The sequence below is a fragment of the Homo sapiens genome, chromosome 12 (genome assembly GCF_000001405.40).
Source record: "Homo sapiens chromosome 12, GRCh38.p14 Primary Assembly".
NCBI classification, from domain to species: domain Eukaryota; kingdom Metazoa; phylum Chordata; class Mammalia; order Primates; family Hominidae; genus Homo; species Homo sapiens.
Window position 1 is genome coordinate 82,134,548 of NC_000012.12, and position 22,687 is coordinate 82,157,234.

The following is a 22,687-nucleotide window of genomic DNA, read 5'->3' on the forward strand; positions in this document are numbered from 1 at the left end:
CCTAGAAAAAAAAAAGAATGTTTTTCTTGTTACTTGGTTATTTTAGGTAAAACTCCTGTTTTCAATTGACTAGAAATGTAATTATTATGCAGGAAATGGCACTTGTTAGAGATGTATAAAAGAAACTGAATTTTAATATACAATTTCTTTAAAGCAAATATTCCCAAATATTAATTTAAAGTAATCTTATTTTTTAAATGAAAAGCTTGTAGTTTTGTCGTATTATGTTCAGAGAATGAATAAAACAAAATCATGTAACTTCTAATGGAAGATTAACTTTAATGATTTGTCGGCATTTAAATGATACAATTATATTCACATAGATGGTCATATGCCACTTTTCTCTTTCAGCCTGTGGCTACAATTCAGCTCTTTTGTTCTGGTTACAAGTAATTCTATACAACAGGATAATATAATCCAAGCCCAAATTTGTGTATAAAGATAGGAAAAAGTCCTATCACTTTTATTTTGCATTCTTTACATTATAGGCAGGAGAAAAGAGGCAAAATATAAGTACCTACTTTTTTTGTGTTTGCTGTCAATAAATAGTTGTCTTTGGACATTCTCCATTCTTTGTCTGATTTAAATATCTCAGTGAACTAAAAACTCCAAAACACCATCAAACAAAATACCAAGAAAATGCTCACCCTCATAGAAGGACGAGATGACGTTCCTAGATTTGTCCACCTTTTCCTAATAATTTTAAAAGCATCATTCATTCCTTCATTCACTCATTTATACACAAAACTTATTGAAAATTGGCAAAAAATGATACATGCTCCCTCATTTCCTCCTCGTCTTGGATACATAGCTAAGTATCTCTCAGATCCTCTTGTGTTTAGATGTGACCATATGACTTGAGTTCTGGTGATTGGCATGTGGGCAGAAGTGATGTAGTCCACTCCCATATATGATCCCATTTTTCTTTCTCAACCCAAGGACCAAATCTGCAGACACAGAAGAAACAGGAGTCTCAAATTTCAAGGCAAATGACCACATGGAAGGTCATACAGATAGGAATGCTAACTACAATCTAAGACCTGAATGAGAAATAAACTTTTATTATGTTAAGAAAGAGATGTCAGGGTTTTTAGTTGGTGTAGCAACTACGTATTGCCTTTCCTAATACAAGAAACTTTTCTCCATCTGTGGAGAAATTTTGAGGTCTAGGGAAAGAGAAATATGAGAGTTATTATTTATTCATTCAAAACACAATTTAATATGTATAATTTGAGAGATGTTGAAGGACTGAAAATTTTTCCACGGTCCTCTGATGACCTTAGCCTCAACTGTCCTCACTCTCCCCTCTTGCTAAACTCGTTACCCAACTAATGATATTAAACCGAAAGAATAATTTCTCTCTCCCTCAGGAACCGTTTCTGACCACATGTTCTGGAAATTATTGGAATGTTAGCTAACCCCTTTTGTTAACAATCTATGAAAACTATGTTTTTCTACTCCCAAAGAGAACACTTCTTGGAGTATTTCTGATGTTCCAGCATTCTGAATAAGAGCTTATGCTTAAGGGTGTTGTAAATGACTTCCTTCTACACAGTGTTGTGATCATTGTGCTATGTTAGAGGTAAAATAAATAAGAGAGAGTCACTGTCCTCAAGATGTTTATAATCTACTGGGTACACAGACTGTTCAGTGTAATTACTCCTACAATCCAGTTATGCATAAATTATCATAGGATCATAAATAAGTGAGCAATTAATTCCCTGGAGCTACCAATTAAAGCTATAGGAGACAAATAGTTCTGGTGAGGGAAAGGTCTTTCGCAAAGAAGAAACCGCATGTACAATAGCAAGCAGCCACCAGAAATGGAAGTGTCTCTGAGACAACTGAAAATTAGTGAATGGAAAACAAACTTATTTCTCCAGTCTCAATATGACTCAGTAAACATCACCTAGAACTGTACGAGCCAGGAATCAAGGAGTCATCTTTAGCCCTATTTTATCCTTCACTGCCCTCTACAACAAGCCATGCCCTATAAATACATCTCGAATCTATCTACCTCTCTACATATTCCCTGCCACCATCATAGTCCAAGCTACTATCATCTCTCATCAAAGTAATTTTAAGAAACTTACTGCTGATCTAACTTAACATCTTTCTCCCCGTTCTCCCTGCGTCCCAATTAGCTATCCATACAGGAGAGAGAAGGATTTTTTTTTTAAATGCCAATCAAATGGTATGGCTGTGTTCCTACCCAAATCTCATCTTGAATTGTAGCTCCCATAATTCCCACATGTTGTGGGAGGGACCCAGTGGGAGATAATTGAATCATGGGGACAGTTTCCATCATACTGTTCTTGTGGCAGTGAACGAGTCTCACAAGATCTGATGGTTTTATAAGGGGAAACCCCTTTTGCTTGGTTCTCATTCTCTCTCTTTGCCTGCTGCTGTCCATGTAAGATGTGACTTGCTCCTCCTTGCCTTCTGCCATGACTGTGAGGCCTCCCCAGCCATGTGGAACTGTAAGTCCATTAAACCTATTTTTCTTTATAAATCACCCTGTCTCAGGTATGTCGTTATCAGCAGCATGCAAATGGACTAATACAGCCAATATGGGCATGAAAAGTCTCTCCTTGGAACTTTCTAACAGTTTTCTATTGTGTTTAGCTTAAAGAATACAGTTCTTAAAATGAGTTACAAGGCTCTACAGGACATGATTTTTTCCAACTGCCAAGCATCAACTCATACATGATCCACAACACACCCCACTCCTGCTTCCTTTGCTTTCTAAGTTCTAACAATATTGGATTTGTTTCATGTCTTTGAGAAGGCCAGGCTATCTCCTACCCCTTCACATACGCTGTTCCCTCACTTTGAGCAGTCTCTCTCAGCCCACCATCACCACCACACTCCTTATTTAACTAATTTCTACATGTCTTGCACCAAAGTAGAGGGTGGGTGCTAGGGGAGCAATCTTTCCCAGGTATAGGCAATAAGGGGTGCTTTGCTTATAAAGAATTTTAAAATAGCAAGAAAATGTTTTAAAAGTTGTTCTTTTTTTATTATTAAAACTGTGTTCTGACAATTATATACAACTTAATAATAAACTTCTTCTCCTAACCAGGGAGACAACTTCCACCAACTCATACTATATGTTTTTGAGAAATGCAGTAATATAGACAAAGAAATCGATCAATTCTTTAAAAATTAGAGAGAGAAAAAGTAGACAAGTACAAGAATAACAAAGAAAATACACAATCATCACATATAAAGAAGAGATAAAATTATGAGTGAATACTTCATGTAAGTATAACAAATTTCAAATTCAAATCAATCATTTCCTTTAAAAAAATACATACATAAATATATATATCTTTACTCTTGCTATACATGTATTAGCATCATTAACATTTATTCATTATCTTTTCCATAAATGCAAATTTAAGCTGACTGAAGGCTGGTACTTCATGTGTCTTGCCCACTGCAGATTTTCTTGTTATTAGACCTGTGCCTAGCACAGAGTAGGCATATAATGAAGTTCTTACTAAATCTATGAAAATATATCCCTTGTTTATGTTTTCTAGTGCATTTTTAAAAATCTGTGTTCTTTTCCACGAAGTTACAGATCCTAGAAAAAACCTGATGAGTAATTTAAAAAGCCTTGATTTTGCAAAAACAACATCCAAAATTAGGTACTGAAGAAAATTAAGAATAGATTTCCTCAATTCCTAAAGAAAGGTTAAAATCATATCTTACTTTAATTTTTCTTCCCATCTGTAATGTAAGTGCACTTTTCCACAAAGACTAAGGAAAGCTGCTACCCATCCTAAATTAAAGAATTGGGCTTATTTAGGAGAAGGAACCCTGTTAACTGAGAAAATTAGTATTGTAAGGTTCATTTCTTCCCAGATAAAAATAGAACTACTATTAAAGTCTCATAGAAAGCATATTCCTAATAAGAATTCTACCAACATTGCTTTCAGAAAAAATTCAAGGAAGTATCTCAACATGGCCTCCATTATAAATAATTATTAGTCCTCTATTCAGCATTCTAATGAGTTGCTTGTAATATCTTCTTTCAAAGAACTGCAGCAGTTAACTTTCTGAAAAAAGATATTATTTAAAATAGTTTTTGTCCCCTATTGCAATGCGTAAAATCTGCTTTATTTCAGAATATCTAAAAATAAAATAAGCCAGGTAGACAACTTAATAGAGAGTATTCACTATATGTTTATGCAAACTGAAAGTAGTCATAATTTTTTCTAAATGAAAGATAAGATGGCTGTTAAAATATTTTAATGCTCTGTCCATCAACTGTAATCTCTCTACTTTACCTCTCTCAAGCCCAGCAGGTTCTAGTGCCTGGAGAAGGTGAGCAAGGCCTTGGGCGCTGATGGGTACTGGAAGAAGAAAGATGGTATGAACAACAGGCAAGATAAGAGCAGAAGAGAACTGAACTGAGAATCAAAACCAACAGTTGACTGTAAAGAGAGCCTGGCCTGAAGAGGACTGCACCTAGTAATGGAAATGTTTGTTCCTCAAAGGGCAAGCTAGTTTCCAGAAGAACTTAGGAGAAGTCAAATAGACGAGTTGAGTTCTTTCTTTATTATTGTAGCTGAAAGTATACCACCTTTTGAGAAGACTAGGGAAAAAACAGGAAACAAATAAATTGCTTACCAGTGAACCACTAACCCATGAAGGTAGCAACCCCTGTGCCTCTGAAGTATCAGTGAAGCTTAAAGCCTTCCAGTTACTTGACACTGAAAAGTGGCACTGTATGCAGACAGACAAAACAAACTGATGCTTAAGTAAACCAAATTGTTGGAGGACGAAAGTATCATCTTAGTTCCCCCTCCTCCCCACTACACACACTCCTCTCAAAAATAATTTTTGGAAATGAAAGTTCAAGTCACAAAAAATTTTTGGAAAAACAAAACGTATAACAATTTCTATTCAACATTGTACTATCAGATATAACCAGTGAACTAAGGTAAGAAAAGTAATTGCAAGATGTAAAGAATGAAAAAAAAAAAAAAGAAAAAATAACCTAACATGCAGATAACATGGTTGTGTTTTTAGAAATTCCACAAGAGTCTACAGAACTTTTTTTTAATGTATAGGTAAATTTAGCAAGATGCTGGACACAAAATCATTTAAAAAGTCATTGTGTTTCTATGTGCCATCATCACATCTATGTGCCATTATCAAACTTTGCAAAATAATTTTTAATAATACTACTTACATCAGCATCAAAAATCAAATACGCCCATAGACTGTACAACATTGAGATTGAATCCTAATGTGAGCTATGGACTTTGAGTGATAATGATGTGTCCATGTAGATTCACTGATTGTAACAAATGTACTACTCTGGTGAGATATATTAATAGTGGGGGAGATTGTAGAAGTATGGGGGTAAGGATTGTATGATAATTCAATGTTCTTTCTGCTCAACTTTATTGAACTGAAAACTGCTCTAAAAACAAATTATATTTTAAAAAATCAAATATGTAGAATAGTGTCCGTCCAATTGAATGTCCATGAAAAGGTAATACTTAATCCTTCCCTACTTGTCAGATATACAAAAATTAATTTTAAGTGAAATGTACTTATGAAAGGACAAACAATAACTTTTCTAGAATAAAAGTAAAAGAATTTTTTAAATAGGGCTGGAAAAGACTTTTTAAATGGGGGGAGCACAAACAATGAAAAAAATGTGTCACATCAATGACAAAAGGCTTGTATCTAAAATGTATAAAAAACTTTTACAAATCAGTAAAAAGTAAGACAATTCAGAAATACAACATACAATACGTAATAAACAGAAAATTAGTCTTCAGGGCAAGGCAAACTAAATGAGATACAACTGCACAAATGCTGGTGTGAGTAAAATTGGAAAGACTGACAATACCATGTATTGGCAAAGTTATACAGCAAGAGGAGCTCTCACACTCTGCTGGTAAGGTGTATTTTGGTACAAACATATTGGAAAACTATTTGGCTGTATGTGCTAAAGTTTAACATGGGCATGTCCTCTGATGCTGATATTTCACTACTAAATATATACCCAAAAGAAATTCATACATATATGCATCAAGAGATATGACATGTATAACATATGTATGTTCATTAAAATATTATTTTTAAGAGCCCCAAACTGGAAACAACTCAAATATCCAACGATAGTAGAATGAATAAATTTTAGTGAATTTGTCCAATGGAATCCTAGACAGCAATAAAGGTAAACTAACAGAAAAATTGTATAACAAAATTTTAAAAGAAGTTAAAAACAATAAAGTATGTTTTATAATATTATATGAATATACTTAAAATATTATCTAGTTACATACAGATATTTTATACTGTATACAATATTTTCTGTTCTTGTACAAGATTACTGTCTGTTTAACAATTACAATTGCATCCATTTCAAAGACAGGCAGGAGTAATTCATCATTTGAGAAGCCAGAATAATGATTTCATTTCAAGATAAGGAGGGAGTTATTGAGTGAGAAAGAGCAATAGATGGGCTTCTGGGATTCGGATAATGTTTTATTTCTTGAATTGGGTGATAGGAAATGGGTGCATTCATGTGTGATTATTAAACAAGCCACACATATTTTATTTGTGCAACATTCTGTACTGTGTTATGTTTAATGAGTGCAATCATACTTCAATATTTCAAAATTTGGAGTATTTCACAGGGATAATTAGACGAAATACAAGCATGTAAGAGAATTGAATAATAAAAAAATTATATAATGCACAAATACATATTTTAAAAAATTGATCATAGACTGTTCATAACATTTTAATATTACTATATTTTTAAATATTTACATGTGTATATTTTATATTCATGTAAATGTTTTATGTTTGTGTGTATATGTTATATATAGATAACATACAAATATATATACATATACATATATATATACACATACATATATATATATATATACACATACACGTAGACAGCAAGAGAGACAGAAAGATAGAGCGAGGAAGAAATGTAAAAAATCACTAAAATGTGTGGGGCGTAACCAAAGTCATATTCAAGCAAAAATGTATAGACTAAAAAGCACTTGTTATTAAGAAGAAAATCTAAATTTAAGCAACTCAATATTTATTTTGATAAATTAAAAGCAAAATAAAAGGATAAATAAGAAAGCTAAAATTAATAAAACATAATGCATGATAATTATTTTTAAATTGGAGAAAATCATATTAAAGATCATATGGAAAATAAATGCTAAAGCTGTTTAATAAAGGAATTATTAAACAGCAGTAATAAGAGATGAATAGCCTGACCTGTATCAAAATGATTATAATGCCTTATCAGATATTAAAATAAATATAATCAAAACTATCTGGTATTTGCATTAGATTATGCAAATAAATGAGTGAAACAAAATAGAGATCTCAAAACATATCGTTTACATGCACATAGAGTGTCGTAATTCAGGGAGAAATAAGATAGGTTATTTAATTAGTGGTGTTCGCACAACTGGCTTTTTCCCTTGGCACCACAAATCACAGGATTGAAAAAGTAAAAAAATAAAAAATAAAAATAAGCCCAGATGGATTAAATACTTAACTATGAAAAGAATAAAAAATATTAAGTGCCAATTTAAGATTGTATTTCAAATCTAGTGTTTGAAAAAACTTTCATAACCACAATAGGAAATGGATATCTTACAGCTTGATACCAAAAAAATTGAAAAGAAAAAAAGAGAATAAAATATATGATTAGACTGGAATTTCTCAAGATCAACACTATTGACATCTGGTCCAACTGTGGACCAGATATATCTTTGTTAATGGAGCCCATCTTCAGCATTGTAGGTTTATTAGCAGCATCCTTGTTCTCTACCAACTAGATGCCAGAAGCACTGCCTCTCCACTCTCTTCAGTGATAACAATTAAAAATGTCTCTAAATATTGCCAAATGTGTACCATTGTCATAAATGTATGTCATAGAATATTATCCAATACCAGAAAAATGCATTCGCTTCTATAATCATTTTCATCTTGCTCAGATGGATTATCATTGTACAAAAGTACTATGTACTCTAACATGAGATAATATGAAGAAAATGTACATAATAAAATTATATTTTTGTATCAGAAAAGAAAAAACTATTGTGTGTATCTGTGCGTTTGTGTTGTTCTTCATTCTTTATGTTTATATATTTTTAAGTATAAAAATATTTAATTAAGTAAATATTGAGTTGTTAGTTTTTAAAACATAAAGCATAATATGAGACGTCCAATGGAAGTTTTTTTTATTTTTTTATTCTTTAGCAAGTTCAAAAAAGATGTTTTGTTTTGGGTTTTTATTTTTATTTTTTAAAGTTCAGTTTAAAGTAAGAAAGTTAAGCAGACTCAGAGAAAATACTAGGTAGATTCTGTAATCTTTTTTTTTTTTTTTTTTTTTGGTCACTGAAGCACCACCCATATTTGTCAGTAAATATTTTATATCCTGGAGTGTCCACAATTGTCCTAATTCTATTAAATTGTATTTATTTAGAACAAAGGCCATTTAATTACCAGGTGTTTCGACACTTAAAAACATTTTAATAAATAAATTCACCATTTACAGAAAGTATATCCTTTATCAAGTCATGATGCCCATTCTGAACCAAAAACAGTGATTGTCTGTAGTAATTTTAAATATTTGCTGAACTTCTATAAGAAAGACATCAAAACATCTGCCACTCTAACTGAAGAAAAGCATGCTCTTAGATTTAATTATTATTTAAAATTGCTAACATTTTTACGGTGTTTACTGTATCTCATGATTTTCCAGGACAGCCTCCAAGTTTTAGATGAAAGAATTAAAATTAATGAATGTTAAACTATTTGTTTAAGAATACTTAATAAGTAGTGAGATTATAATATCAACTTAGTTCTATCCAATTCTAATGTATAAGTAATTTTATTAAACTAAATCGTAGGGAAAAAAGCCTACCAGTTTAGCTCATCTGTTCTATCCTTGTAGAGATAAAGTCAGATGGAAGAAGAAGAAGGCTTCATAAAAGGGAGGTTCTGGCATCCTCAGGAATCACTTGCTGTAATGGATTCTTCCATTCTTCCATTCCACTATCCCAAAAGCCAACAATTTATTCTGGAGAAGTATCTCAGTTTCTAATTACTTCATAAAAAAATGACCACAGAAGAAGCTCTTCAGAATGTCAGAAGAAATTTTCAAAATCCACCCCTCTATTAAAACGATGAGGAAACTGGAAAAAGAAAAAAATGAGTCAAAATCTGATTTTTCAGAACTCTGGAAATTAACCAAAGCCTTGCAATAATTTAAGAAGCATTTATTCCAGAAAAAGGGTTGAATCTTAGTAAGAACTAGAAAGTTGGCAGATTTGAGTCCAGAGCCAGTTCTTTTGAAAATCAGATTGTTCTACAGGGGACACCCTTAAGCTCTTGAAACAATGATGTCAGTCAATCATACATTCAACATGTTTCCAATCCACATTCTTTCTTCCAAGTGTGATTCAAAATTCTTGAGAGTCAATGTTCTTATATGTAAATGTGGGCTACCATGTTAAAAGAAGAAAGAGAAAGAAAAGAAAAAAAGGAAGGAAACAGAGAGAGAGAAAAGAAAAAAGGAGAAAAAACAATTCAAAACATCAAAGACTCATTGAGGTCAGAACATACTATAATGAGATACCATAGATTTTTGGGGGGACAAAATAAATTCCATATGGAGGAGACTGTCTAAGCATGGCCACTGCCAGAGAAATATAACAGAAGCTTCTCATTCCAGTTTTGCAACGTGCTAAGCAGAATGGAGCTCAAATGGCCACCAGTGACCAAAAAAAATTCTGCATGTTTCACTATAAAATGATGTTTTGCAAATTCAAGTGTTTGTGTTTTGGGAAGTCAGGTACTGTAGATTATTCTACCATTCCTTTACTATTGATAAAATTCTCCAAAGATTAATTTCTACCAAAACGTTTATCATTTATCACATATAATGGATCCAATTATTCATTAAATTATTTTCATTAGCCTTACCTCCCCTGACTAGGAATAGTTTTGAAAAGTTGAAACTATTTGTCTATATATCCATATAAAAGCTGCAACTCATTGGGATAGATTGTTACATCAGCCACCCTCAATGAGTAACACTTTCCAAATTCATAAGGTCCCCTCCCCCATTGACTCTGGGCTGGGCCACATGACTTGCTCTAGCCAATAGAATATCAGCAAACGTGACACAAACAGAGGCTTACTAAGTGCTTATGTGTGGAACTTTCTCTCTTGGAATATTGCCTCTATCATGCAGAGAGAGGACCAGCCTTGAATTAATCCTCAGATGAATGCACCTATGTGAGTGAACCCACAAGAAACTAGGAAAAGAACCATCCAGCTGAACCACAGAATCATCAAAAATAATAAATTACAATATAAAGCCACAACAATTTGAAGTTATTTGTATGAAGCAAAGATTACTGATAAAAAAATTAGGTACTGGAAATCGGGAAAATTTAGAACGTGATAGTTTTGAGACTCAGCCATGGGCAAAGGCTGCAAAGGCCTTCGTGGTAGCAAAAAAGATCAAAAGGAAACCAATGCTAAAGACTAAAAAAAAAAAAACCATGGTAACCTGTATTCTACAGTAGCAAAACAATGAGCAAAACCATTGCCAACAGTAACTCTAATATACAAAATGCTCTAATGAACTTGAGGATTTAGGTTGATTGTATAAGCAGATTGTAGTACCCATTTTAACTACATTGCAAGCATGGAATTTTGGAGGCTACAGAAAGAGAATTTCAGGCCCCATATTCTCCTGATGTCAGGCTTGTAGTTAGAAATTCTTAAGGAATAGTTTTTCACATTCCACCAGAAAAAAATCCATGGCAGGCAACTATAGTCATTGCACCTTTATGTGATATGTTCTTTGTTTCTAGTTCACCCAACGAAGGTTTGTCATCTTTTGGAATCCTGGCTTTATGAAGGGCTTTCCCTGTCTAACACCTGCCTGTGTTTCTTTTCCCACCCAGGCTACAGAGGATGGATAGATGTTACCAAAATGAATTCTATTTCAATAATACCTTACTTTTCTGGATTCACAGCTTATCCTTAAGTATTATCTCTGAGGTTTTTGTCTTACTTTCTTATTTATTCATCTATGAATTTATGAAGGCAAGAATCACTTTGCAGGACCTGAATCTTAAATAGTTTGGGGGAGACTCTTTAAGAAAAAGCATACAAAATAATAAATGCAAACTTGCTGGGACTTTGGAAGGAGCCCTAAAACTTAAACTTCTATTAGCTTTGGGGTAAATCTCCTGCTGGCCTCTGGTCTACATTCTTTTTTTTTTTTTTTTTTTTTTTTTTTTGCTTTTATTTTAGTTTTTGGGGTACCTGTGAAGGTTCATTGCATAGTGATATGGTTTGACCCTGTGTCCCCACCCAAATCTCAACTTGTAGCTCCCATAATTCCCACGTGAGAGGAATCTGGTGGGAGATGATTGAATCATGGGGGGCAGGTCTTTTCCATGGTGTTCTTGTGATAGTGAATAAGTCTCACAAAATTCACTGGTTATATAAAAACAGGAGTTGCCCTGCACATGCTGTCTTCTCTAGTCTGCCACCATGTGAGACATGCTTTTCACCTTCCACCATTATTGTGAGGCTTCCCTAGCCATGTGGAAATGTAAGTCCAATAAACCTCTTTCTTTTGTATATTGCCCAGTCTTGGGTATGTCTTTATCAGCAGTGTAAAAATGAACTAATACAGTAAATTGGTAACAGTAGAGTGGGGCACTGCTGAAAAGATACCCAAAAGTGTGGAGGCAACTTTGGAACTGGGTAACAGGCAGAGGTTGGAACAGTTTGGAGGGCTCAGAATAAGACAGAATAATGTGGGAAAGTTTGGAATTTCCCAGAGATTTGTTGAATGGCTTTGACCAAAATGCTGATAATGATATGGACAATGAAATCCAGGCTGAGGTTGTCTCAGATGGAGATGAGGAACTTGTTGGGAACTGGAGCAAAGATGACTCTTGTTATGTTTTTGCAAAGAGACTGGCAACATTTTGCCCTTGCCCGAGAGATTTGCAGAACTTTGAACTTGAGAGAGATGATTTGGAGTATCTGGTGGAAGAAATTTCTAAGCAGCAAAGCATTCAAGAGGTGACTTGGGTGCTGTTACAGGCATTCATTTTTGTAAGGAAATTGAAGCATAAAAGTTCAGAAAATTTGCAGCCTGACAATGCCATAGAAAAGAAAATCCCATTTTCTTTTCATTTTCAATTCAAGCCAGCTGCAGAAATTTGCATAAGTAAGAAGGAGCAGTATGCTAATCCACAAGACAATGGGGAAAATGTCTCCAGGGCATGTGAGAGGTCTTCACAGCAACTCCTCCCATCACAGACCCAGAGGCCCTAGGAGGAAAAAGTGATTTCATGGGCTGGGCAGAGGGTCCCTGTGCTGTGTGTAGCCTAGGGAATTGGTTTCCTGTGCCCCAGTTATTCCAGCCTTGGCTGAAAGGGGCCAATGTAGAGCTCCGGCCATGGCTTCAGCGGTGCAAGCTCTAAGCCTTGGCAGCTTACACGTGGTGTTGAGCCTGCAGATGCACAGAAGTCAAGAATTAAGGTTTGGGAACCTCCACCTAGATTTTAGAGGATGTATGGAAATGCCTATGTCCAGAAAGAAGTTTGCCACAGGGGCAGGGCTCTCACAAAGAACCTCTGCTAGGGCAATGTGGAAGGGAAATGTGGGGTTGGAGCCCCCACACAGAGTCCCTACTGGGGCATTGCCTAGTGAAGCTGTAAGAAGAAGGCCACCATCCTCCAGATCCCAGAATGGTAGATACACTGGCAGCTTGCATTATGTGCCCAGAAAAGCCACAGGCACTCAACGCCAGCCCATGAAGGCATCCAGGAGAGAGGCTGTACCCTTCAAAGCCACAGGGGCAGAGCTGCCCAAGACCATGGGAACCCACCTCTTGCATCAGTGTGACCTGGATGCGAGACATTGAGTCAAAGGAAATCATTTGGGAGCTTTAAGATTTGACTGCTCCACTGGATTTCGGACTTGTACGGGACCCGTAACCCTTTTATTTTGGCCAATGTCTCCCATTTGGAATGGCTATATTTACCAACAGCCTGTACCCCATCATATCTAGGGAGTAACTAACTTGTTTTTGATTTTACAGGCTCATAGTGGAAGAAACTTGCCTTGGATGAGACTTTGGACTGTGGACTTTTGAGTTAATGCTGAAATGAGTTGAGACTTTGGGGGACTGTTGGAAAGGGGTGATCGGTTTTGAAATGTGAAGATGTGAAATTTGAGAGCTGCCAGGGCAGAATAATATGGCTTAACTCTCTGTCCCCACTCAAATCTCCTCTTGCAGCTCCCATAATTCCCACGTGTTGTGGGAGGGACCTGGTGGGAGATGATTGAATCATGGGGGCAGGTCTTTTCCGTGCTGTTCTCATGATAGTGAGTAAGTCTCACAAGATTCGATGGTTATATAAAAAGAGGAGTTTCTCTCCACAAGCTCTCTTCTCTTGTTGGATGCCATGTGAGATGTGCCTTTCACCTTCCACCATGACTGTGAGGCTTCCCCAGCCACGTGGAATTGTAAGTCCAAAAAACCTCTTTCTTTTGTATATTGCCCAGTCTCAGCTATGTCTTTATCATTCAGCAGCATGAAAACAGACTAATACACACAGGTAAACACGTGTCACAGAGGTTTGTTGTACAGATTTTTTCATTGCTCATGTATTAATCCCAGGGCCTAATAGTTATCTTTTCTGCTCCTCTCCCTCCTCCCACCTTCCACCCTCAAGTAGTAGACCCCAGTGTCTGTTGTTTCCTTCTTTGTTTTCATAAGTTTTTATCATGTAGCTCCCACTTATAAGTTAGAACCTGTGGTATTTGATTTTCTGTTACTGTGTTAGTTTGCTAAGGATAATGGCCTCCAGCTCCATCCATGTTCCTGCAAAAGACATGGTCTTATTCATTTTTATGGTTGCATAATATTCAATGGTATATATGTACCACATTTTCTTTATCCAATAGACCACACCAAAGGTCTACATTCTTTAAAATATTTTATTCCTAAATTTTAGGTTGCATATGAAGATGATTTCTCTGGGCATCTGAGGTATATTGCTGGAAACGGAAGTGTGGTTGCTGTTCAGTGTGTATTTTCCCCACTTGGTTTTAGCTACATGAGCACAACTGGGCTGTCTGGTTCACTGCTATATGCTCAGCACTACAAACTGGAAGCTCAGTAAATGATGAATGAATGATTGAATTGTCACATTGATTAGATTTATTTTATTGGTCAGATATTTCTAGACAAAAAAAATGAAATGGAAAATAAGGGAGAAAAATTTTTAACCAGCATAGGATTAAGTGAGCAAAGGTGAAAATTAATGTCAACAACCCAAATGTACAATATTAGTATCTGCCAGCTAGAAAATCGGCAGATCTGTGTATAAAGACAGTTCTTTTGAAAATCAGATTGTTCTGTAGGGACCACCCTTAAGTTCTTGGAATGATGAAATCAGTCAATGATATAATTAACATGTTTCTAACCCGTATTCTTTCTTGCATGTTATGACTCAGAGCTCTTGAGAGTCAGTAAGAATACACCAAGTTATTTTGTAGAGGAAAATTGACTCTGTAGACATGCCTGCTACCCACATCCATGATGAGTGAGTTGGCTCTTTGTTCAAGTAAGAATATAAATTCAGGTTTTAGCATTGTAGGAGAATGACAGCTATTCCCTGTCACATGTGATGACTAAAGTTGTGAAGGGCACTTGTTAAAGACTATCTTAAAATATGGATATATGAGAATCACAGTTTCATAAGATGGTATTATTCATCTGGATTTGGTAGATTCTATCTCTGTAATAATTTAGACACGAGTTACATGAACAGCCGTATTATTCAAGGCCCCACAGGAATGACTTGACTATTTGCTATGCCCTGTAATTCAATACTCTGTACTCAACTTTTAAATAGGCAAAAATATATATTGTTATTTGAACAGTGGTTCCCCACTTTGGTACAAACAAAAATGAAGACATTATGAACTGTACAGGCTGCTCCCTTAAATGTAGATCTACATAATATATGTCTCACTAAATTTATATCCAAGAAATAATTTGCCCCTGCAGAGGAATTTGTATGTCTCTTATATCAAATATGAATATTACTTAGCTCAGTGTGATTCCTTTTTTGCCTTAGCTGCCAGAAAACTAAGCCAAATTGTGTGCCCAGCAGTAGAAATGAGGTCATATGAGAAATCTATTGGCATAAACTCTTCATGTTTCTCTAAGGCTTATCTATTCTTTTTTATTCTCTTATTGAATTTAACATAATTAAAAACTGTGTATTCCATATCTAAGTCATTTGAATGTAGGTGAGATTGAAATAAGCAAATAAACAATATACATTTTAAAGAGCTATATTAGGCATTATGTCTCTCTATAAACATAAATTAGATTGAATACTATCTATCAATTAAAATTTCCTAATGTAATTCAACTATAGAATTCATATTTTCATATATTCACCTACTCATTCTTTCTAAAATATTTAATGAGTACATACATAAGACCTATTTAAGAAAGACTGTGTCAGATATTGTGGTGGGAAAGTAAAGTATAAAGATACTACGTAATCCTTTAAACTAAAACTCTAGTTGGACAGATGGCCATCTAAAATATAAGTAACAACAGGGTATACAACTATCAGCAAAAGGCTTCAGGTGTTCCAGAAAATGAGAGCATTAATTCAATCAGCTCTACAAGGGTTCATTATTACGTAGTCCCCTTTGAGATTTATTCCTGACAGTTTATCCTCCAATTAAGAGATTAGAATTCTACTGGTGTATGGTTTTATCTTTTCAGTATGTTTTAGAATTGTTCAAACAATAGAGCCAGTTAGGCCTAGGGCACCAGCCTTATCAACCTGACTTGAATTAAAAGCTCTCTTGAGAAACAAAAAAATAAGATTTTAGTTGTCAAAAAAGAAAAATAAAAAGGAGCACAGCAGACTAACCAAACCAAATGGATTGAAAGGGGCTACTCAAGTTGAGGAAAACATAATATAGGACATTGGCTGTCAATAAGGGAGACTACAGATAGACTTCTATTTACTCGGCCATACAGTGCTTTAATCAGTGTGTAACAAACCATCTCAATACCCGGCAGCACATGATACAATATGCTTATATATGATGATGTTGTTTTATCAGATCCCATCACTAGAAACATAAAGAAGGTATTTTTCCCAGTCTTGCTCACCATAGTATCCCTAGTATCTAGAACAGTTCCAGACACACAGTTGATAAATATTGTTCATGAAAAGAATAATTATATATTAAATGATTGATACAAAGAGTGAATGATGCAGCAGTCTAGAAGAAAAGATGATCTTTCTATGCTGCAGTGTTGTCTTAACCCATTTATGCCTGAGGTTGCAATTTTTTGAATTTTTGCAATCAGACCTTGCCAATGACCTTGAGCAGCAGGATATAAATAACTCCCACATGCTTAGTGTTCCAATAATGGAACGCTAAGCTTAAATGGGCTATAAGTTAGATTCCCCTAAGACAGACAAGGATTTAAGTGCAATTATTTCTTTGGGAGATGATCACAAAGGCACTGGTAAGGAGGTAGAGAAATAAGGTGAAGAAAAGAGGGAAGCCAATAAGGGGTATGTTATCTAATAGGTTCCCATGGCAGGTTACCACTGTGAACAACTGGGGAACTGAGAAAGATGCTAAAATATAACTGAATTATTTTTTCAGAGAGATAAGAAAGATGGAGTATTTATCCTTCAACTTCCATCCACCATTGGCTAAGGGTGCTGGGAATATTCACCACTTCCCAGGACTTCCTTCCTGGCCTACCTGGACTGATAGGCTTCCAGTAGAGTCAAAAGTGCTTGAACTGGAATGCAGTAAGCATCTACTGGAATGATAAATGCAAAGGAGATATGAGGAGGCATCAATAGTGTCTACTAAAAATGTTAATAAAATAGAGTTAAAAGTTGCAGTTTCAATGAACTACTTGAGTCTCATTTAAAAATGAAAATGCAAATACATGGAAAGAAGAGGAAAACAAGACATAATACAAGTTAGACATATATAGGATACCAGGGAGAAAACTAAACCTAATGGAGTGGAGGACTGGTGGGAAATGAGATTTAAAGATTCCATAGCACAGGCATCATAAAATCACTGAGGACTTTAGACTTTATCTTGTAAACAACAGGAGAACCCTAGAAGATTTTTGAATACAAGAATAATATGAATAAATAGTATAACATAATGATTAATTTTTCAGCTATGAGTAGGAAGAAATGGAACACTGAGGCCTTTAAGTCCTGACCAAATGATATTATAATTCTGGCTTGAAAAGCCTGGACTAGGGTGGTGGGAAACGACAAAAAAGTAGATAGGTAATTGAGTACCATGTAATTCATCTGTGCAACAAAAACCACTGGTACCCCAAAAGCTATTGAAATAAAAATTTAAAAACAATTTTAAAAGTTAAGAAGCCAATAAAACAAAAAATTAAAATTAAAAAAAAGTTTCCTGAAGGGAATAAAAGGTAAATAGGATGAAATGGATTATATAAACGAAGACCAGGAAAGGAGCAGGAGCCCAAGGATGCGAGGATTCACATCAGTAGGTCACGGCAATTGTATTTTCTTAAATTACTCCTAAATTTTAACTTAACATTTATATATTTTTATTTTTTAGAAATTTTACAAAATTTTTGCAAGTTGCCCCTGGTTCCAATATAATTTCAAAAAGTTGAAGTGCAGTTTTCTTGAATCTTTGTTGGCATAAATTTTTGCCATAAACTAAGAGATGAATTTGACACCCAAAGGTTTTCACCAAATGACAGTTCAGGAAAGTGGCAGAAGATGTGCAGTGGATTCCAGAAGGTGCTTGAAGAGCGCATGCTGGGTACAAAGGCTTTGTTAAAGATGGCAAGTCTGAGCAACATATACAACTTCCCATTGAGTTAAAACTGAACCAGTTCTAGGAAGAGAAGCCAGGGGTCAAAAAGCAGTTATACGGATTTCATACATCTGCAACCAAAACAGGAATAACTTGTCATCAGGGGCCCTGAGGTAATAGAAATAAAATGAATGCCCAGCACATTGTAAGGCAGAAAAATGAGTTGGGTTTCAGTAAATCAGGACACCCGTATCAGAGCTGGCTGGTGAAAGAGATTTGATGAGTTACTTTGACAGAGAAATCAGTGAGAAGATACCTAAGGCCCATGCCTTAACCCACATTTGGAACTTAACAGACGCATGTTATAAAAAGTTGGACAATGTTTTTGTTTCACAAACTTTACTTGTACTATTTCTTCTAAATATTAGGCACAAATTTGGCAGGAGGTCATGTTTTATAAGTAGGAAACAAGTAAATACACATTTTTAAAATAGTTATTTAAATTAAATTAATTAAATTTAATTAAATTAATATACACATATGGTTTAAGTCAAAAATACAAATGGAAAGTTTAGAGAAAAATGTTCTTCACATCCCAGTCTTTCCTTGACTCAGTTTTCTTCATTCCTGTCACACATCTATTAGTATTGTATATATCCTTCCAGATATTCTTTATTCATCTATAAGTAAGTACAAATATGTATGTATTCTTGATAGTATTTTATTCACAGTGCTCTGAACTCTGCCTTTTACTTAATAGTGAATGTTTCAAAATATTTACATATTATTACGGAGACAAGTACCTCAAATTTTACAAATGAGTAATATTCTATAAATTTTATCATTTTTATTTTGCACAATTTTGGTTATTCCATATTTGCTTGCATGTATGAGAATGAAGTTATAGGATACATTCATAGAGGTGAGACTAATAAGCAAAAATATATACATTTAAGTAGAAGCTTAAAGAATTCAACACAATCCCAATAAAAACACTAACAGGCTTCTTTTTTCTGATTTCTTTCTTTCTTTTTTTCTTCTTGTCTGTCTGTCTTTATTTTTCTTTCCTTCCTTCCTTTCTTGGTGTAGTCTTCCTTTCTTTTTATGGTAGTGGATGTACAAACAGTCTGATCCTACATTTCATATAGGCATACAAAAAAATCTTAGCCTGAACACAAAGAGCAATGAAGATGCTCCACTTCTACTAGATATTAAAACACACTGCAACATATAAATAGTAGTAATAGTCTGGTACTGGCACACAGAGATAAAAATATCAATGGGACAAAATAGAAATTCCAGAAGTAGATGCAAATTCACACAAAAACGTCATATATGACAAAATTTAGTATTTCAAATTAGTGAAGGAAGATGGACTATTTTATAAAGTCTAATGGGACAATTAAGTAACCATCTGGAAAGAAAATACTATTGGGTCCACTATCTGACATGGTTACAGAAGGACTGATAGCACACTCAGATTCAGTAATATGAGGAATTTAATAAAGGGACTATTTATAAAGGTTTAGAGATATTGTGGGAAAAATCATACTGAGACAGTAGCAGAAGGATCCTCTTACCATACATAGGCCTGAAGGGGAGAGAGTGCTAACACCAAGAGACAGAGAGGGATGTGTGAAAAGGGACATCAGACAACAGCTGTGACCTTAGGTTGAAAAACGCAGCCAGGCCACAGGGACCCCACAACAAGACAGTCCTCCTCCTCTCCCTCTGAACTCCTGCCACTCATCTCAATTGGCCAAATACAACTAGAAACCAGAAGGCAAGTGATATTCCCCCACAAGTTCGCTTCCTAGATTTGAGAAGAGAGTAGAAGAGATAAGGGTAGATATAGAACCAGTAGAAGATAGCACCTCATGGTCTATACCAGAATAAATTCCAAATGGAACAATAAATCAAAATAAGGAACAATTATTTTATGATTCGGTTTGTGTAAAGTGTTTCTAACCATGACTGATAATCTAGAGTTCATTTAAAATTGGTAAGCTTGACTGCATTAAAAAGAACATACTTCTGTATGGCAAAATCACTGTCATCAGAGCAGAAATACAGTGATAACTTGGTGGAGGAGAAACTACATCTAATATCACAAAATGCTAAACAGCACAAAAAATTAATTTCAAAATACCAATAAAAAAATTGACAGAGTATATGAACATACAGCTCAGGAAAAAAATGCGTATGAAAATATATTCAACTTTATTCCCAATAAGATAGATGAAAATTACATCTTCTCAGAAACACCATTTTTTGTTTAACAGACTGGCAAACATTGCAAACTTGGTGATACAATCTATTGTTTCATTGCTGGTAGGAGGGCATATGTGTAAAAATCCTCTGGAGGAAAATCTGGCAATGTCTATAAAAATCGAAAATGGATACGTACTTTTCACCCTAATTTACCAATTAAAAATTTGTTTTATTGAATCCAAAAATTACATTCAAACATCAAGAAACAAAAAAATTCTGAGCCTCAAAGGAATGCTATATCAATTTCTTTCTCAGCCATGAAAGACAAAAAGCAAGAACAGATTTATTTTATATCCCCATATCATTTGGATGTTAGTAATTCTAAGTGTATAATTTTGGTAAATCACAATAATGACATAATGATTAAGAAAGCTGGTTCTGAAATACTTTTCTATATTGATTTCTTCCTATGTGCTTTTAGTCTATATATTCCTACTATTGATTCCTGAGGTGTGTCACATTTTTAGTTGAAGTATCTTGGAATTCTTAGATAGGATTATAAAACTCTTCATTTACTTTTGTAAATTAAGAGAACGTTGTCTCTCCTTGCTATTACATCAAGAAACATTAATTAAATACCTACACTGTGACAAGCACTGTGCAAAGTTCTGGGGTCACAAATATGAATAAGAAAGCAGCCTGTGTTGACCATTTAGACTACTAGGGAGATAAAAAAATGTTCTGGTTACCGGAGCTCTACATCAAGCCCATCCCAAAACTTACCGGCTCAAAGCAACAATATTTACTTGACTCACTAGTACAGAAATCAACATGCCCTACAAAGCCTATTTATTTATTTTTGGAGAGCTTGTTGTTAAACATTTAAGTACCACTGAATAGTTGGCACTAACTAAAGACAGTCTCCAAATTAAGAATTTTTTTTTACTTTATTATGTTTGAAAATGATGCTCATTCAGTAGAAATCATACCCTGAATTTTAAATTTTGATATTTTTCTGGGATGGGCAGCAGAACTGAGCCCAAGATCCTAGTCAGCCATGCAATCAAGGGGTGAATAACTGATACTCTACAGCATTCTGTGTTGCCACCGTTTTTTGGATATTGTGTTTTGTGTTTTCGCATCCTATCATGTCTACAAAACACCCTTTATATACAATACTCAATACTTTATTGTAAAATATAGGTTTTGTGTTAGATGATTTTTCCCAACTAATGTATGTGTTCTGAGCACGTTTAAGGTAGGCTAGGCTAAGCTATGAAGTTTGGTAAGTTAAGCGTATCAAATGCCTTTCAAATTACGATATTTTCAATGTAACAATAGGTTTATTGGGATGTAAATTAATGTCAAATTGAGGAGCATCTGTATTTAAAATGTGCAACTAAAAAATCACAGATGAAAAACTATAGATGACAAATGCAATTCTGAATTTTTCAAATGTTATTTGGAATTGAGCAAAATCAATTGTATTGGCTTTTTGAAATGCTCTCACAAAGCCACCTCTTGTATACATCTCTTTTATTGTATTATTTATACACTGTGCAGTAAATATGCACATGAAATATTTACACACACGTTTATTCAAAGTACCTATTATTCATTTTCTCCTTTTTCCTAGGTGTGCCAAGAAGGAAAACTAATAATATTTCCCTAGCTAATTTCATCTACCTCAGGTTATCTGGAGATTGTCATTTGGCTAGTTTTTGTTTTCAGTATTACAGATTTTAATTTTGCATTTCTGACTTTATAGGCTTTTATTGAGAAGAGGGAAGAAGTTGCATTGAGAGCTTCTACCCAGGTGTCATTTCACATGTTATATAAATAACAAGTCATTTTGCATCCATTTTAAATTTAAGGAATGTTTTTAATAAGGCAAGCATATTGAATTTTAATTTAGATTCATACATATAAGTGTGTACATATATATATATATATATATATATATTTTTTTTTTTTTTTTTGAGAGGGAGTCTCACTTACTCTGTCACCCAGGCTGGAGTGCGGTGGTGCAATCTTGGCTGACTGCAACCTCCGCCTTCTGGGTTCAAGCGATTCTCCTGCTTCAGCCTCCCAAGTAGCTGGGATTACAGGTGCGCCACCATGCCCAGCTAATTTTTGTATTTTTTAGACACAGAGTTTCACCATGTTGACTAGGCTGGTCTCGAACTCCTGACCTCAAGTGATCCACCCACCTTGCCTCCCAAAGTGCTGAGATTACAGGCATGAGCCACCGCACCTGGCCTAGATTCATATTTGGCATTAGTGAGTTTAGTCTGTACGTGCACAGAACTATTAGATATAAACCCATTAGGTCAGAAAAAGTAATGTTTTAGGGCAAATAAAGGGCTATACTGTTACACTCCTTTACATAAAGAAAGTAAGTGATTGAGTGATTCTACTGTGCAATATTTTGCATTATGGAGTGTTAGCAAGCAGGCTAAACTATAGCATTTAGTTATGGCAATAGTTTGCTGCAGGGTACAGAGCTGACACATTCATAGCTGTTCCTTGACTACTAGCTAGTCTAACCAGATAACACATT

At 34.7% G+C, this 22,687-nt stretch overlaps 1 long non-coding RNA gene across 2 annotated transcripts in view, besides 1 other annotated feature; it reads right to left on the reverse strand.

Moving 5' to 3' along the window:
• Positions 1-347: 347 nt before the first annotated feature.
• The window catches only part of LOC105369873 (uncharacterized), a 173,421-nt gene continuing 151,081 nt past the window's right edge, over positions 348-22,687 (reverse strand). Inside the window, exons 3-5 of one of the 2 annotated variants that reach the window (XR_001749232.1) lie at positions 8,930-9,200; positions 4,293-4,358; positions 348-947 (exon numbers count right to left, since the gene is read on the reverse strand). This is a non-coding gene — a long non-coding RNA (uncharacterized LOC105369873). Of the gene's footprint in view, positions 948-2,995; positions 4,359-8,929; positions 9,201-22,687 lie in introns of those variants that run through there. The other variant, XR_945149.4, reaches the window with a different exon arrangement.
• Positions 12,653-13,242: an enhancer, noted in NCBI's record as "H3K27ac hESC enhancer chr12:82540979-82541568 (GRCh37/hg19 assembly coordinates)". NCBI's record gives its function as "activates a minimal SCP1, AML or CMV promoter by ChIP-STARR-seq in naive H9 embryonic stem cells {active_cell/tissue: H9 hESC(naive)}" and the evidence as "EXISTENCE:reporter gene assay evidence [ECO:0000049][PMID:30033119]".